Here is a 15,882-nt window from a genome sequence, read left to right as displayed (position 1 = left end):
TTAATTTTATACATTTATTGGGTACAATGTGATGCCTTGATATATGTATACAATATGACATGATTAAATCAAGCTAATTAAACATGTCCATCACCTTGCTTACTGTCATTTTTTAGGGTGAGACATTTGAAATTTACCGTGTTATTCTGAAATATATAACACATTATTATGACTCTGGTTACTTTGCTGTGCAATAGATCTCAAAGTCTATTCCCCTTGTCTGTCTGAAACTTGTGCCCTTTGATTAACAGCTCCTCATTCCCTGCATCCTCACCACCCTACCACCTCAACCTCTGGTAACCATCATTCTATTCTCTATGTCTATGAATTTAACTTATTAGATCCACATATAAGTAAGATTATTCAATATTTGTCTTTCTGTGCTTGTTAATTTCACTTAGCATAATGTCCTTCAGATTAATCTATTTTGCCATAAACAGTATTTTGGGACTAAATAATATTCTATTGTATATATATATCTCAGAGACGCTCTCAAGAGAATAAAGAGACTGGGAGATAATATTTGAAAATCATATCTGTTAAAGGATTGGTATCTATGATATTAAAAAAAACTCTCAAAAGCCAACAATAAGAAAGCAAACAACTCAATTAAAAAATGAGCAAAAGATTTGAACGACACTTGTTCAAAGAAAGCCTGTGGATGGCAAATAAGCACATGAAAAGATGCTCAACTTCATTAGTCAGTAGAGAAATGCAAAATTTTTTATGTGTATAAATTTACAGGCACAAGTGCAATTTTGTTATATGCATTCATTACATAGCAGTGAAGTAAAAGCTTTTACAATATCCGTCCCCAAATAATGTGTATTGTACCCATTAAGTAATTTCTCAGGGAAATGCAAATTAAAACCACAAGGAGAAACCACACCTACTGGAATGATAAAAATAAAAAAAATCTGACTATATGCTAAGTGTTGTTTGGATGTGGAGGATCTGGAACTCTTATTCACTGCTGGTGGGAATATAAAACTGTGCAAATACTCTGCAAAACAGTTTTGCAGTTTCTTAAAAATTTAAATGTACACCTGTCATCTGATCTGGCTATTCCATTCTCATATTTAGCCTGGACAAATGAAAGCATATGTCTCTACAAAGACGTGTATTTGAATGTTCGTAGAAGCTTTACTTGTAATAGACCCAAGCTGGAAATAACCCAAATGTCTATCAGCAGGTGAATGGATAAACAAACTGTGGTATATTTAAATAGTACTCAGCAATAACAGGGAGGGAACTATTGGGGCATGCTGCAACATGGATGAATCTCAAAATTATTATGCTGTGTGAGACAAGCAAGGCAAATAAAAACGTACATATTGTATGATTTTCACTTATAAAAATTCTACAAGATGCAAATGCATGTATAACAACAGAAAGGTGGTCTGGGAAGGAGGGGCAAGAGGGAGGGATTTCAAAGGGGCCCTAGAAAGTTTCCAAGGGTGATAGATATGTTCATTATTTTGATTGTGATGATGGTTTTACAAGCATATTCATGTGCCAATACTTATTACACTGTACATACAAAATACTGTCATCCCTCAGTACCCAAGGGGGATTGATTTCAGGACCCTCAAAGATACCAAATTCCATTTGCATATAACCTACACACATCCTCCCATATACTTTAAATCATCTCAAGATTACTGTATTAGTCCGTTTTCATGCTACTGATAAAGACATACCCGAGACTGGGTAATTTATAAAGAAAAAGAACGGACTCACAGTTCCACGTGGCTGTGGAGGCCTCACAATCATGGTGGAAGGTGAAAGGCACGTCTTACATGGTGGCAGGAAAGAGAGAATCAGAATCAAGCGAAAGAGGAAACCCCTTATAAAATCATCAGATCTCGTGAGACTTATTCACTACCACAAGAACAGTATGGGGGAAGCTGCCCCCATGATTCAATGATCTCCCACCAGGTCCCTCCCACAACATGTGGGAATTATGGGAGCTACAATTGAAGATGAGATTTGGGTGGGTGGGGACACAGCCAAACCGTATCAATTACTTATAGTACCAAATACAGTGTAAATGCTACATTACTATACTGTATTGTTTTGGGAATAACGACAAGGGAAAAAAATCTGCACATGATCAGTATAGAGGCAACCATCCATTTTTTTCCAAATACTTTTGATCTGAATTGGTTGAATCCATGGATACAGAACCCATGGATATGGAGGGCCAATTGTATATACAGTTTATTGTTTGTCAATTACAGCTCAATAGTCTTTCTAAATTAAAAAATGTAGCAAGAATAATATACGTATTCCCATCACCCAGCTTCAGTACTTTTCAGCATCCTGCTATTCTCTTTCAAGGAGTTTTTCTGTAAAGGGGAAAGGAGAGATGGTCTGTATCTAGAAAGAGATGTGGAATCACATAAGAATTTTTGTTTTTTATTAAGGTGGGAGACACGACAGCACATCTATATGCTGGGGAGGGGTGAGCGCAAATTGATGCAAGAGTAAGAGGAACTTCCTGAGTCTTTGTGTGGGCAGGACCAGCAGGGATGGTGTCTTGTGTGCAAAGGCAGGAAGGGCCTCAGGGGAGAGGACAGCTCATCCAGACCAGCAGGGAAGACAAAGACATGAACGGGGTTTTCTTAGTATCCCACACAGACTCTTTGTTAATATATCAATGACGACAACCATAGAATAGTTAATAGGCCTTTGTATTCGTTCGTAAGATGAGTCACACAAATCCAGCAGTACTTGAGTTCCTTGGATGAAGTTTTCAACAAGGACACCTTGAGGATCTTGTAGGTATAGATTTCTCTGTATCTCCAGCTAAGGAGTGATGCACCCCCAACCCAACTCTCCTTTGAAGCAATGCTTACTTGGTCTGAATTGATCAATTGGTAGAGATGATAGAAAGTCCTCCACCTGTGTATTCAGTAGAAAATTATACTGTCATTCTATTTTTTTTTCAGTGTTAATGGTATTCTCATAAAAGCTTCCATTCCCTGTCCCCTTGTCGGTACCACCACCATCACTCTAATCACCGTTACCTATGCAACAAAAATAGCAGTAACTACCATTTAATAAGTGGTGCTCTCTGAGGCCAGGAAGTCAGGAGGTCGAGGCTGCAGTGAGCCAGGATTCACCACAGCACTCCAGCTGGGTGACTCTGTCTCAAAAAAAAAAAAGGAGGGCTGGGCTCCGCCATCTCACTTCTCTTCACAACAGCCACATGGGGTCATGTATGACTGTATCAGCCCCTGTTAACATTTGTGGAAAGTTAGGCTTACAGAATTAGGCTACTGCCTATTGTCACATCTCAGAAGCATCAGAGCCAGAATTGAAATCCAAGTCCAGGTGACTCCAAAGTACTTGCCCTTAACAATAATTTTCTGTCATACCACCTCCCTTTATGAGTGAGAATTTTTCCTGGCAAGAGTAGATATATGCATGTTTTCCCTCCAATTCTCATTTATTGTAAAGACCACATTTTGACAATAATAAAGGAACTCAGAAGAATGAAAATAATTCACAGTTCCAACATCCTCTTGCAGCAACTGTTTTCATTTTTCTCCATTTCCTTTTGACCCGTATCCATACATACATCATTTACATAGTTGTAAATGCAATTTTATTTTCTGCTTTTATGCTTAATGTTATACCAAACATTTTTCTTTTTGCTATTTAGTCTTTGATAGATGCACAGTATTCCATGTTGTTTATGTGCCACAGTTTAAACAATCACCCACGATGGACAGCAATTTGTTTCCAGTTTCTTAGTTTTTAAACTATGCTGCAACAAACCATTTCGTTTTCCTCCCATCTTTTGTCATTTTTTTCTTAGAATAAATTCCCAAGAGTGAGATGACGGAACAAGCATTTGAACATGTTTATGGATTTAATACTTTAAAAGGAAGTGAAATTGGGAGAGTTTGTATCTTACATCACAGTGGATAACTTTCACAGCTGGCAAGAACAGATTAACTACATGAATTATCGTTTAGGTGGACCAAAATTAAAGACAAATGGGGAGTGACTGCTAAGGGGGACAGGGTGTCTTTTTGAGGTGATGAAATGTTCTGGAATACGATAGCAGTCATGGTTGCACGACTTTGCCAATGTGCTAAGAACACTGAATTGTATGTATACTTTAAAAGGATGGATTTTGTGGTATGTGAATTATATCTCAATAAAGCTGTTATTAAAAATTAAAGAAAAAATTTCAGACACTCCTAGTAATAGTTTTAACCATTGCTATAGGAGAATTCTAGATTTGTTTTTTTATGTGGAGGCAGCATATCAATAGTGTTTAAGAGCATAAAACCATCAGAGTTTGAATTGTAGGGTCATGACTTATCTGCTCTGTGGCCCTTGGCAAGTGCTATAGGTTGGGTCCTCCCAAAGCCAGTGCTGAGACAGAGTTTGGGGTGCAGGGTGTTTGTTAAGGATCAACACAGGACAGGCCAATGGCGGAAGCAGGACTGGGCAGAGAAAGGGGTGGAAATGAGATGCAGGCCCGACGCAGCTGCGCCAGCCCTGCAGGAGCTCCAGACAGTCAGTGCTCCTGCACTGGACTGAAACGGCCAGACCTTTATACACTGGCCTGGCTCCGAAGCGTGCTGTGGTGCGGCCCAGGAAGGGCATTAATGAGGGGCTCTGTATCTAGGGCTGACCTGAACAGCTGGCAGCAGAAGGCCCACTGCATTGGTCACCTCCCCACAGCCGGGCAACAAGGCCAGGTCTGACCAGGGGTCTGGGTGGCACTTCTTTGTGTCTACCATAGCAAGTTGCTTTCACTGCTTTTGCCTCTGTTTCCTCACCTGCAAAATTGAGATGATAACAGTATCTACCACTTAAGATTGCTAGAAAATTAAATGCAATAACACATATGAAGTACTTAGAGCAGTGCCTGTCATATAATAAATGTTCAAAACATACTAGCTATTGTTATTTTACTTTATTTATTTATTTATTTTTTTTGAGATAGAGTCTTGCTCTGTCACCCAGGCTGGAGTGCAGTGGCATGATCTTGGCTCATTGAAACCTCCTCCTCCCAGGTTCAAGCGATTCTCCTGCCTCAACTGCCCAAGTAGCTGGGACTATAGGCGCCTGCCACTGTGCCTGGCTAATTTTTGTATTTTTAGTAGAGATGGGGTTTCACCATATTGGCCAGGCTGTCTTGAACTCCTGACCTTGTGATCCGCCCACTTCAGCCTCCCAAAGTGCTGGGATTACAGGCATGAGCCACCGCACCCAGCCTGCTGTTGTTACTTTATTATTACTCTACTGAATAATATAGTCAGCTTTGCCCAGTCTATGCTAAAGAATTACCATGCAGCATATATACTGAGAAGTCTGTGAAGACTTAAAAAAAAGAGACTTTATTTTTTGAAGCAGTTTTAAGTTCACAGCAAAATTGAGCCCTTGCTCCCATACATGCACAGCCTCCTTCACTCTTCTGAAGACTTTTAAGAAAAGGAATGACAGCTCTCTGAGATGACTTATGTGTATGTTGAGGCCAGAATTGCCAGGACCTACAAGGAGCGAGGTGAATGATGTTGTGAAAGCTTCCCTGCCTCCAATTCTCCATGATCTGCCTATTCCTGACAGATATTTCTGTCTCATTCAATTATTCTTGGTTATTAACAGCTTTACATGGTGAGGATGGGTTTATTGAACCCTGCCTACTGTCACAATTAACTGAGAGCAGAACCTCAAATTGAGGAAGTGAGTTTTGATAAATAGATTAGGGTTCTAGAATGGGAGGAGCTGCCTAGTGCAGGGATTCGGAGCAGTGGGCCTGGCTGTCACAAAGAACAGAGCATGTGCCTAGGGATGACCAAATACAGTTCTAGAGAAGGAAAGATAGCCTAGATTTTTACTTTTAAGTTTTTGGGTCAATTTCAATGTCATCCACATTGGATAGCAGAAAATTTTTCTGTTGAAGCAGCTGTTTTTTAAAAAATTATACCACAAAATGGACTTTTCATGGGGGTGTGTGCTTTCTATGAATTTTAATACATGTATAAGTTCATCCCTACAAACCATCCCCACAAACAGGATACAGAACAATTCCACTACTAGAAAAAATTCCCTGTTCCCTATCCTTGTGGACACACTAAGCTTTCATAACCATGGATCTCTTCTCCAACACTACAGCTCAAGACAGCTCTGCTTTTAATAATCTTGCCTTTTATCTTGATGGAGTTTGCAAAAAAAATGTGGGCTTTGTCCCCAAACAACAGAATATACATTATTCTCTTTGCCACATGGCACTTACTCTAAAATTGATCATATAATTGGAAGTAAAACACTCCTCAGCAAATGCAAAAGAACTGCAATCATAACAAACAGTCTCTCAGACCATAGCACCATCAGATTAGAACTCAATATTAAGAAATTCACTCAAAACTACACAACTACATGGAAACTGAACAACCTGCTCCTGAATGACTCTTGGGTAAATGACGAAATTAAGACAGAAATCAAGACGTTCTTTGAAACTAGTGAGAATAAAGATAGAACATACCAGAATCTCTGGGATGCAGCTAAAGCAGTGTTAAGAGGGAAATTTATAGTACTAAATGCCTATATTAAAAAGCTAGAAAGATCTCAAGTTAACAACCTAACATTACAACTAAAAGGACTAGAGAAACAAGAGCAAACGAACCCCAAAGCTAGCAGAAGACAAGAAATAACCAAGATCAAAGCTGAACTGAAGGAGATAGAGACACAAAAATCCCTTCAAAAATTAACAAATCCAGGATCTGGTTTTTTAAAAAAATTAATAGGCCACTAGCTAGACTAATAAAGAAGAAAAGAGATAAGATTCAAATACACATAATCAGAAATTATAAGGGGGATATCACCACTTATTCCACAGAAATACAATTATCAGAGAATACCATAAACACCTTTATGCATGTAAACTGGACAATCTAGAAGAAATGGATCAATTCCTGGACACATACACCCGCTCAAGACTCAACCAGGAAGAAATTGAATCCCCGAATAGTCCAATAACAAGTTCTGAAATTGAGGCAGTAATAAATAGCCTACCAACCAAGAAAAGCCTAGGACCAGACAGATTCACAGCTGAGAATTCTCCCAGAGGTACAAAGAAGAGCTGGCACCATTTCTACTGAAACTATTCCAAAAAATTAAAAAGGAAGGATTCCTCCTTGACTCATTCAATGAGACCAGCATCATCCTGATACCAAAACCTGGCAGAGATATAACACAAAAAGAATACTTCAGGGCAATATCCTTGATGAACATCGATGCAAAAATCCTCAATAAAATACTGGCAAACCGAATCCAGCAGCATGTAAAAAGGCTTATCCACCACAATCAAGTAGGCTTCATCCCTGGAATGCAAGGTTGATTCAACATATGCAAATCAATAACTGCGATTCATCACATAAACAGAACTAAAGGCAAAAACCACATGATTATCTCAATAGATGCAGAAAAGGCCTTTGATAAAATTCAACATCTCCTCATGTTAAAAACTCTTAATAAACTAGGTATTGAAGGAACATACCTCAAAATAATAAGAGCCATATACGACAAAACCACAGCCAATGTCATGCTGAATGGGCAAAAACTGGATGCATTCCCCTTGAAAGTTGACATAAGGATGCCCTTTCTCACCACTCCTATTCAATATAGTATTGGAAGTTCTGGATAAGGCATTCAGGCAAGAGAAAGAAGTAAAACATATTCAAATAGGAAGAGAGGAAGTCAAACTATCTCTGTTTGCAGATGACAAGATTGTGTATTTAGAAAACCCCTTTGTCTCAGCCCAAAACCTTCTTAAGCTGATACGCAACTTCAGCAAACTCTCAGGATACAAAATCTATGTGCAAAAATCACTAGCATTCCTATACGCCAACAACAGGAAAGCAGAGAGGCAAACCGTGAATGAACTCCCATTCACAATTGCCACAAAAAGAATAAAATACCTAGGAATACAGCTAACAAGGGAAGTGAAGGACCTCTTCAAGGAGAGCTATAAACCACTGCTCAAAGAAATCAGAGAGGACACAAACAAATGGAAAAAATTCCATGCTCATGGATAAGAAGAATCAGTATCATGAAAATGGCCATACTGTCCAAAGAAATTTATAGAGTCATTGCTATCCCCATTAAACTACCATTGACATTCTTCACAGAATTAGAAAAAAACTATTTTAAAATTCACATGGAACCAAAAAAGAGCCTGAATAGCCAAGACAATCCTAAGCAAAAAGAACGAAGCTGGAGGCATCATGCTACCTGACTCCAAACTATGCTAAAGACTACAGTAACCAAAACAGAATGGTATTGGTATAAGAATAGATACATAGACCAATGGAACAGAATTGAGAACCCAGAAATAAAACTGCACACCTACAATCATCTGATCTCCAGCAAACCTGACCAAAACAAGCAATGGGGAAAGGAATCCCTATTTAATAAATGGTGCTGGGAGAACTGGCTAGCCATATGCAGAAAATTGAAACTGGACCCCTTCCTTACACCATTTACAAAAATCCACTCAAGATGGATTAAAGACTTAAATGTAAAATCCCAAGACTATAAAAACCCTGGAAAAAAATCTAGGTAATACCATTCAGCACATAGGCGCAAGCAAAGATTTCATGATGAAGATGCTAAAAGCAATTGTAACAAAAGCAAAACTTGACAAATGGGATCTAATTAAACTAAAGAGTTTCTGCATAGCAAAAGAAACTATCATCAGAGTCAACAGATAACCTTTGGAATGGGAGAACATTTTTGAAATCTATACATCTGACAAAGGTCTAACGTCCAACATATACAAGGTACTTAAACAAATTTACAAGAAACAAACAAACAGCTCAATTAAAAAGTGAGCAAAGGACATGAACAGACATTTCTCAAAAGAAGACATACATGCAGCCAACAAACGTATGAACAAAAGCCCAACATCACTGATTGTTAGAGAAATGTAAATCAAAACCAAAAAATCCAATCAAAATTCTCACTGGTGTGAGATACCATCTCACACCAGTCAGAATGGCTCTCATTGAAAAGTAAAAAACAAAAACAAAAACAAAACCCACAACAGATGCTGGTAAGGTTGTGGAGAAAAAAGAACGGTTTTTACACTGTTAGTGGGAGTGTAAAATAGTTCAACCATTGTGGAAGACAGTGTGGTGATTCCTCAAAGACCTAAAGGCAGAAATACCCAGCAATTGACCCAGCAATCTCATTACTGAGTATATACTCAAATAAATATAAATCATTCTATTATAAAGATACATGCATGTGTATGTTCATTGTAGCACTATTCACAATAGCAAAGACATGGAATCAACCTAAATTCCCATCAATGATAGACTGGATAAAGAAAATGTGGTACATATACACCATGGAATACTATGCAGCCATAAAGAGAAATGAGATCATGTCCTTTGCAGGGACATGGATGGAGCTGGAAGCCATTATCCTCAGCAAACTAACACAGGAACAGAAAACCAAATACTGCATGTTCTCACTTATAAGTGGGAGCTGAATGATGAGAATACATGGACACATGGGGTGGGGGGAACAACACACACTGGGGCTAATCAGGAAGAATAACTAATGGATGCTTCACATAATACCTAAGTGATGGGATGATCTGTGCAGGTGATCACCGTGGCACATGTTTACCTATGTAACAAACCTGCACATCCTGCACATGTACCCCTGATCTTAAAAGTTGGAAGAAACAAAAATATGAGCTTTGGAGTTGGAAAGAAATACTCCCTCCTTCCCTGCTATGTATGTGTATGTGATTCTGGGAGATTAACTTAATGAGATGTGGAAAGAAAAGGTAACATATGCATAGGGTCTCCTCTTCTGAGGGTAAGTCTGTCTTCGCCATCTTACTAACTGGGACTTGCTCAGCAGATCATGGTAAAGCTAAGGAGGTGGGAGGAGGTTAGACTAGTATGCTTTACAGTGGAAGGAGCAGAATGTTACTTGGAGAAAGAAAGTGAAAAAATTTTGCAGGTGAAATGAGAGAGATAAAATGAAAAAGAGCCATCATAGGCTGAGTAACTTTCCTAAGGTCATACAGATATGTCCTGGCAGAGCCAGGATTCTAATCCAGATGGTCTTGTTCCTGCTCTTGTGTTCTTGACTACTTTATTTTACCATACAATGGTAACACATGGAAACAATGAATGCATGTTGTCTTTAAATTTTACATTGCACTTGATTAGATTATCCCGACACTTTACTTTCTTTACAAAAAATATCAATTTAAACATTTTACTTAAATTTCTAAAATTTAAATAATGCAAACAGGCATTTATCATTACAAAATGTCCTTTTGAAGATTGAGGGTTTATAGCTCCCTCTCTATTCTCTGCATCTTGAACAAACACAACTCTGCCAAGTTAAGCCACAATACTTCTCTTGAGAAGGTCCAAATGAAGCATCTGTTTGCTTTTATAAGCATATGCAAAGCATTGTGGAAAAACCATTTTGCTAGTCTGTATGATTTTGGTATCATATTGTTTTTTATTTCTAGAGTTTGCCCTTTTTTTTCTTACTTTTACTCAACTTTGTTTTATAATCATGGTTCCAAAATAAAGTGTACAAAACAAGGTGTATTCAGAGGAGTCTAGTTTCTATCACTCACCTCTACCTGGTTCTTCAGTTGCTCCTGTAGGGTAATAATTTTGTTTATAATTGTGTAGTTTATTCTTCCATTTAGAAACATATATAAGATATATTTCTACCTTGCTTTAGTCACACTATATTCTGGAGATTATACCATAGAAATGTATGAAGATACTCTTTATTTAAAGGGTATTTTTGAGGAGAAAAACATGGTGTGCAGAAATTCATATAAAGTAAGTTTTCTGACCACATTGAATTAAACAAGAAAGTAGTAACAGAAATATATCTGGAAAGAATTCTAAATATTTGAATATTAATCAACACACTTCTAAATAACCCATGAGTAAAGGAGAAATCACAAAGAATATTAGAAAACACTATGATTTAAAGGAAACTGACAACACATGTCAAATTTGTGGGACACAGCTAAAACAGCGTTTCCAGAGAAATTTATGGTAGTAAAAGCTCATGTTGGAAAGGAAGAAAGTTTTCAAATTATTAATCTAAGTTTCATCTTAAGAAACCTGAAAAACAAAGCAAATTAAAACTAAAGCTTGCAGAAGGAAGGAGGTAATAAAACTAAAGGCAGAAATCAATGACAGGAAAAATAGAGAAAATGAATAAAACAATAAAACAAAAATCTAAATCTTTGAAAAGATCAACAAAATCAGTAAACTTCTCTCCAGACTGATGAACAACAAAAAAGACACAAATGACCAATATTAGGAATGAGAAAGGGATATCACTACAGATTCTTACAGATATTAAAACGATAATAGGGAATATTGTAGTAAATTTTTTTGCCAATAATTTTGAAACTTTAGATAAAATAGGCAAATTTCTTGAAAGACACAAACTGCCAAACTCACTCAAGAAGAAATAGATAGCCTGAACAGTCTTCTATTAAATAAATTGAATTCATAGTTAAAAACTTTTCCATGAAGAAAATCTTGACCCAGGAAACTTCAATGGTGAATTTTACCAAACAGTTAAGAAAAAATACCATCAATGCTTCACAAATTTTTCTGAAATATGGGACAACATTACCCTGATACCCAAATAAGGCAAAAACATTATAGGGCAAAAAACCTACAGATTAATATTCCTCATGAACACAGATGCAAAGATCCCTAACAAAATATTACAAAATAAAATCCAGGCCAGGTGCTGTGGCTCATGCCTGTAATCCCAACGCTTTGGGAGGCCAAGGCAGGCGGACCATGAGGTCAGGAGTTGTAGACCAGCCTGGCCAACATGGTGAAACCCCATCTCTACTGAAGATACAAAAAACTAGTTGGGCGTGGTGGCATGCACCTGTAATCCCAGCTACTCGGGAGGCTGAGGCAGGAGAATCACTTGAACCCGGGAGGCGGAGGTTGCAGTGAGCTGAGATCGTGCCATTGCACTCCAACCTGGGCGACAAGGCGAGACTCCATCTCAAAACAAACAAACAAACAAACAAATCCAACATGTAAAAGGACCAAGTGGGGTTTATCTGAGGAATGCAAGTTTCTTTAGATGTTTGAATTTAGATATTTGAAAAATTCATCATACTAACAGAATATAAAATATTAACTCTATGCATCAATAGATGGAGAAAAGACATTTTACAAAATTTTATGTTGAATCATGATAAAACAAAAAAATCATTCTCAGGAAATGAGGAATAGATCTACTTATTTTGATAAGGGACATCTGTGAATAACCTACAGGTAACTTTACACTTATTGGTGAAAGAATGAATGTTTTACCCCTAAGAATGAGGGCAAGGCAATTATGTCAGTTCTTAACACTTCTACTCAATATTGTACTAGGGGTTCTGCCCAGTGTACTAAGGCAAGAAAATTATACAAAATGCATATAGATTCAAAAGGAAGAAAAAATACTCTTTTTAGTCATGGATTGCATGATCATTTGCATATAAAATCCCAATAATCTACACATAAAGCTAGTAGAATAAGTGAGATTATAAAGTTACAGGTTACATGGTCAATAGAAACAATCGAATATTAAAAATAATTTACAATATCATAAAAATGAAATTCTTAGGGATAAATTTAACAAAAAAGCAAGACTTGTAGATAGAAAACTACAAAACATAACTGAAATTAAAGAAGACTTAAATCGTGTTCATGGATTAGAAAACTCAATTGTTAAGTGTCAGTCTCTCCAAATTAATATATTCAATGTAATCTCAATCCAAATGCCAGCAAGCTTTTTGTCAAAATTAACAAGCTGATCTTATCATTTATGTCAAATGCAAAGGACCTTATACAGCCAAAATGTTTTTGAAGTTTTACTAACCCGATTCAAGACTTATTTATTATAAAGCTACAGTATTCTAGATAATATGTTATTGACATAAAGATAACATGTATAGATCAATTGAACAGAATAACGAGACCTGAAATAGACCCACACATATATGGTCAATTGATTTTGGTAAAGGTACCAACATAATTTCATGGGGAAAAGATAGTCTTTTCAATAAATGGTGTCCTTACCAAAAGACCAGGGGTTCTGTCTGGGTCCTACTGCTCACCAAACAGAAAGCCAATCACTGAGATGACCAGTATTGCCAAGGAAGAAGGCTTTAATTGGGTGCAGCCAAGGAGATGGGAGCTCAGTCTCAAATTCATCTCCCTGACCAACTAAAACTAGGGGTTTATATAGCAGGGAAGAAATATAACAATGTATAAGGAAACAGGAGCTAGGGAGGAGCAAGGAAGCCATCATGATGAATGAGGGGTCTGGCATCTCATTGCCTGGATGTGGGATTTGGTGAGTTTCAGTTCTTTGATACCTTTTATGATAGGCCTGAAGGTCATTTCCTGAGGAAGGAACTCAGATAAAATAAATGTGAGATTCAAGCTTTAAGGTAAGACGCGTCAATTTCTATGTTTATCCAAAAAACTATCTGTGGGACTATTGGGTCAGTATCAGTGTTAGACATCCATAGGCAAGGGAATAAGCCTTGGCCTTTACCTTGCACCATATGCAGCTTAACTCAAAATAGATCATAGACCTAAAATAAATATAACAGCCCAAACTATAAAACATCCAAAAGAAGGGCCGGGCGTGGTGGCTCACGCCTGTAATCCCAGCACTTTGGGAGGCCGAGGCGGGCGGATCACGAGGTCAGGAGATCGAGAGCATCCTGGCTAACACGGTGAAACCCCGTCTCTACTAAAAATACAAAAAATTAGCCGGGAGTGGTGGCAGGCGCTTGTAATCCCAGCTACGGGGAGGCTGAGGCAGGAGAATGGCGTGAACCCGGGAGGCGGAGCTTGCAGTGAGCCGAGATCGCACCACTGCACTCCAGCCTGGGCGACAGAGCGAGACTCCGTCTCAAAAAAAAAAAAAAAAAAATCCAGAAGAAAATTCAGGAGAACATTTTTGTGAAGAACTTGTGCTTTTCAAAAGACACTTAAGAAAATGAAGCCTAGCAATAGATTTGGAGAAAATATTTGCAAAATATATATCTGATAAAGGACTTTTATTTAGAATATAGAACTCCCCAAACTCAACACAAAATCAACTACCCAATTAAAAATGAGCAAAAGATTTGAACAGATACTTAACTTAAGACAAATGGAGGCCAGGCACGGTGGCTCATGCCTGTAATCCCAGCACTTTGGGAGGCCGAGGCAGGCAGATCACGAGGTCAGGAAATTGAGACCATCCTGGTTAACATGGTGAAACCCCGCCTGTACTAAAAATACAAAAAAATTAGCCGGGCGTGGTGGCGGGCGCCTGTAGTCCCAGCTACTCGGGAGGCTGAGGCAGGAGAATGGCGTGAACCTGGGAGGTGGAGCTTGCAGTGAGCTGAGATCGTGCCACTGCACTCCAGCCTGGGTGACAGAGCGAGACTCCGTCTCAAAAAAAAAAGACAAATGGATAGCAAATAAGCACATGAAATAGATGCTCCACATGATTAGTCATTAGGGAAATGCAAATTGGAATAATAAGGAGATACTACTATATATATGTTAGCCTGGCTAAAATTAAAAAGGCTATCAATACTGGTAAGGGTGTAGAGCAACTAGAACTCTCTTTCATTGCTGGTTGGTATGCAAAATTATATAGCCACTTGGAAAACAGTTTGACAGATTCTTATAAAGTTAAGCATACACATACATTTTCTATACAACCTATGCCCCATTCCTATGTATTTATTTACCCGAAAGAAAGAAACATATTTACATAAAGACTTGTATGTGAATGTTTCTAGTCGCTTTATTCATAGTAGCCCCAAACTGGAAATAACTCAAATGTCCTTCATGTGATGAATGGTTAAACAAATGGTGATGCATGCCTGCAAAGGAATACTACTCAGCCATAAAAAGGACTCAACTATGGACACTCATAACAATATGGGCAAAATCAAAAGCTCCCTCCTAAGGGAAAGTAACCAGACACCAAAGGTTCTGTATTGTATGATTCATTTACATTTCATTATCTGAAAGGAAAAACTAGGGAAAGAAAATAAGATGAGTGATTACCACAGTCAGGAACTAGGGAAGGGGACTGACTGTAAAGGATCATGAAGCACTTTTTGGGGTGATAGAAAAGTTCTATATCTTGATCATCATGGTAGTTACACAACCATATGCATTTGTCAAAACTTGTCAAACTATACTTAAAAGGAGTGAATTTTACTTTTGTATATTATACCCATATAAACTCGACTTTAAAAAACATAACAAACGGGCCGGGCGAGGTGGCTCATGCCTGTAATCCCAGCATTTTGGGAGGCTGAGGTGGGCGGATCGTGACATCAGGAGATGGAGACTATCCTGGCCAATATAGTGAAACCCCATCTCTACTAAAATACAAAATAGTAGCTGGGCATAGTGGCACATGCCTGTAGTCCCAGCTACTCGGGAGACTGAGGCAGGGGAATCCCTTGAACCTGGGAGGCGGAGGTTACAGTGAGCCGAGATTGTGCCGCTGCACTCCAGCCTGGTGACAGAGTGAGACTCTGGCTCAAAACAAAAACAGAAACAAAAACAAAACATTATAAATGTAGAAAAGCCGCTAAAAAAAGTGAAGGCAGTGGGCAGAGGAACCAGTAAGGAGACTGAAGAAAGAATGAGGTTTACATTAGGGCAGAGATTGCTGAATTAGAGACACAGAGCTTCAAAATCCTCCTCTTTAAATTCAGAAGGACTTGAGCTTGATTTTTATTTATTATTTATTTTTTATTATTTATTTATTTATTTTGAGATGGAGTTTCCCTCTTGTTGCCCAGGCTGGAGTGTAGTGGTG

General features: G+C 38.1%; 1 long non-coding RNA gene across 1 annotated transcript in view, besides 1 other annotated feature; it reads left to right on the top strand.

Annotated features, from left to right (window-relative positions):
- LINC02427 (long intergenic non-protein coding RNA 2427) overlaps positions 1–15,882 on the top strand; it is a 31,124-nt gene that overhangs the window by 5,451 nt on the left and 9,791 nt on the right. The gene's annotated exons all lie outside the window — the stretch shown is intronic.
- Positions 2,418–2,943: an enhancer, noted in NCBI's record as "NANOG hESC enhancer chr4:185450344-185450869 (GRCh37/hg19 assembly coordinates)". NCBI's record gives its function as "activates a minimal SCP1, AML or CMV promoter by ChIP-STARR-seq in naive H9 embryonic stem cells {active_cell/tissue: H9 hESC(naive)}" and the evidence as "EXISTENCE:reporter gene assay evidence [ECO:0000049][PMID:30033119]".

Source organism: Homo sapiens, chromosome 4, assembly GCF_000001405.40.
Source record: "Homo sapiens chromosome 4, GRCh38.p14 Primary Assembly".
Taxonomy (NCBI): Eukaryota; Metazoa; Chordata; class Mammalia; order Primates; family Hominidae; genus Homo; species Homo sapiens.
This window is presented reverse-complemented; position numbering and strand designations above follow the sequence as displayed.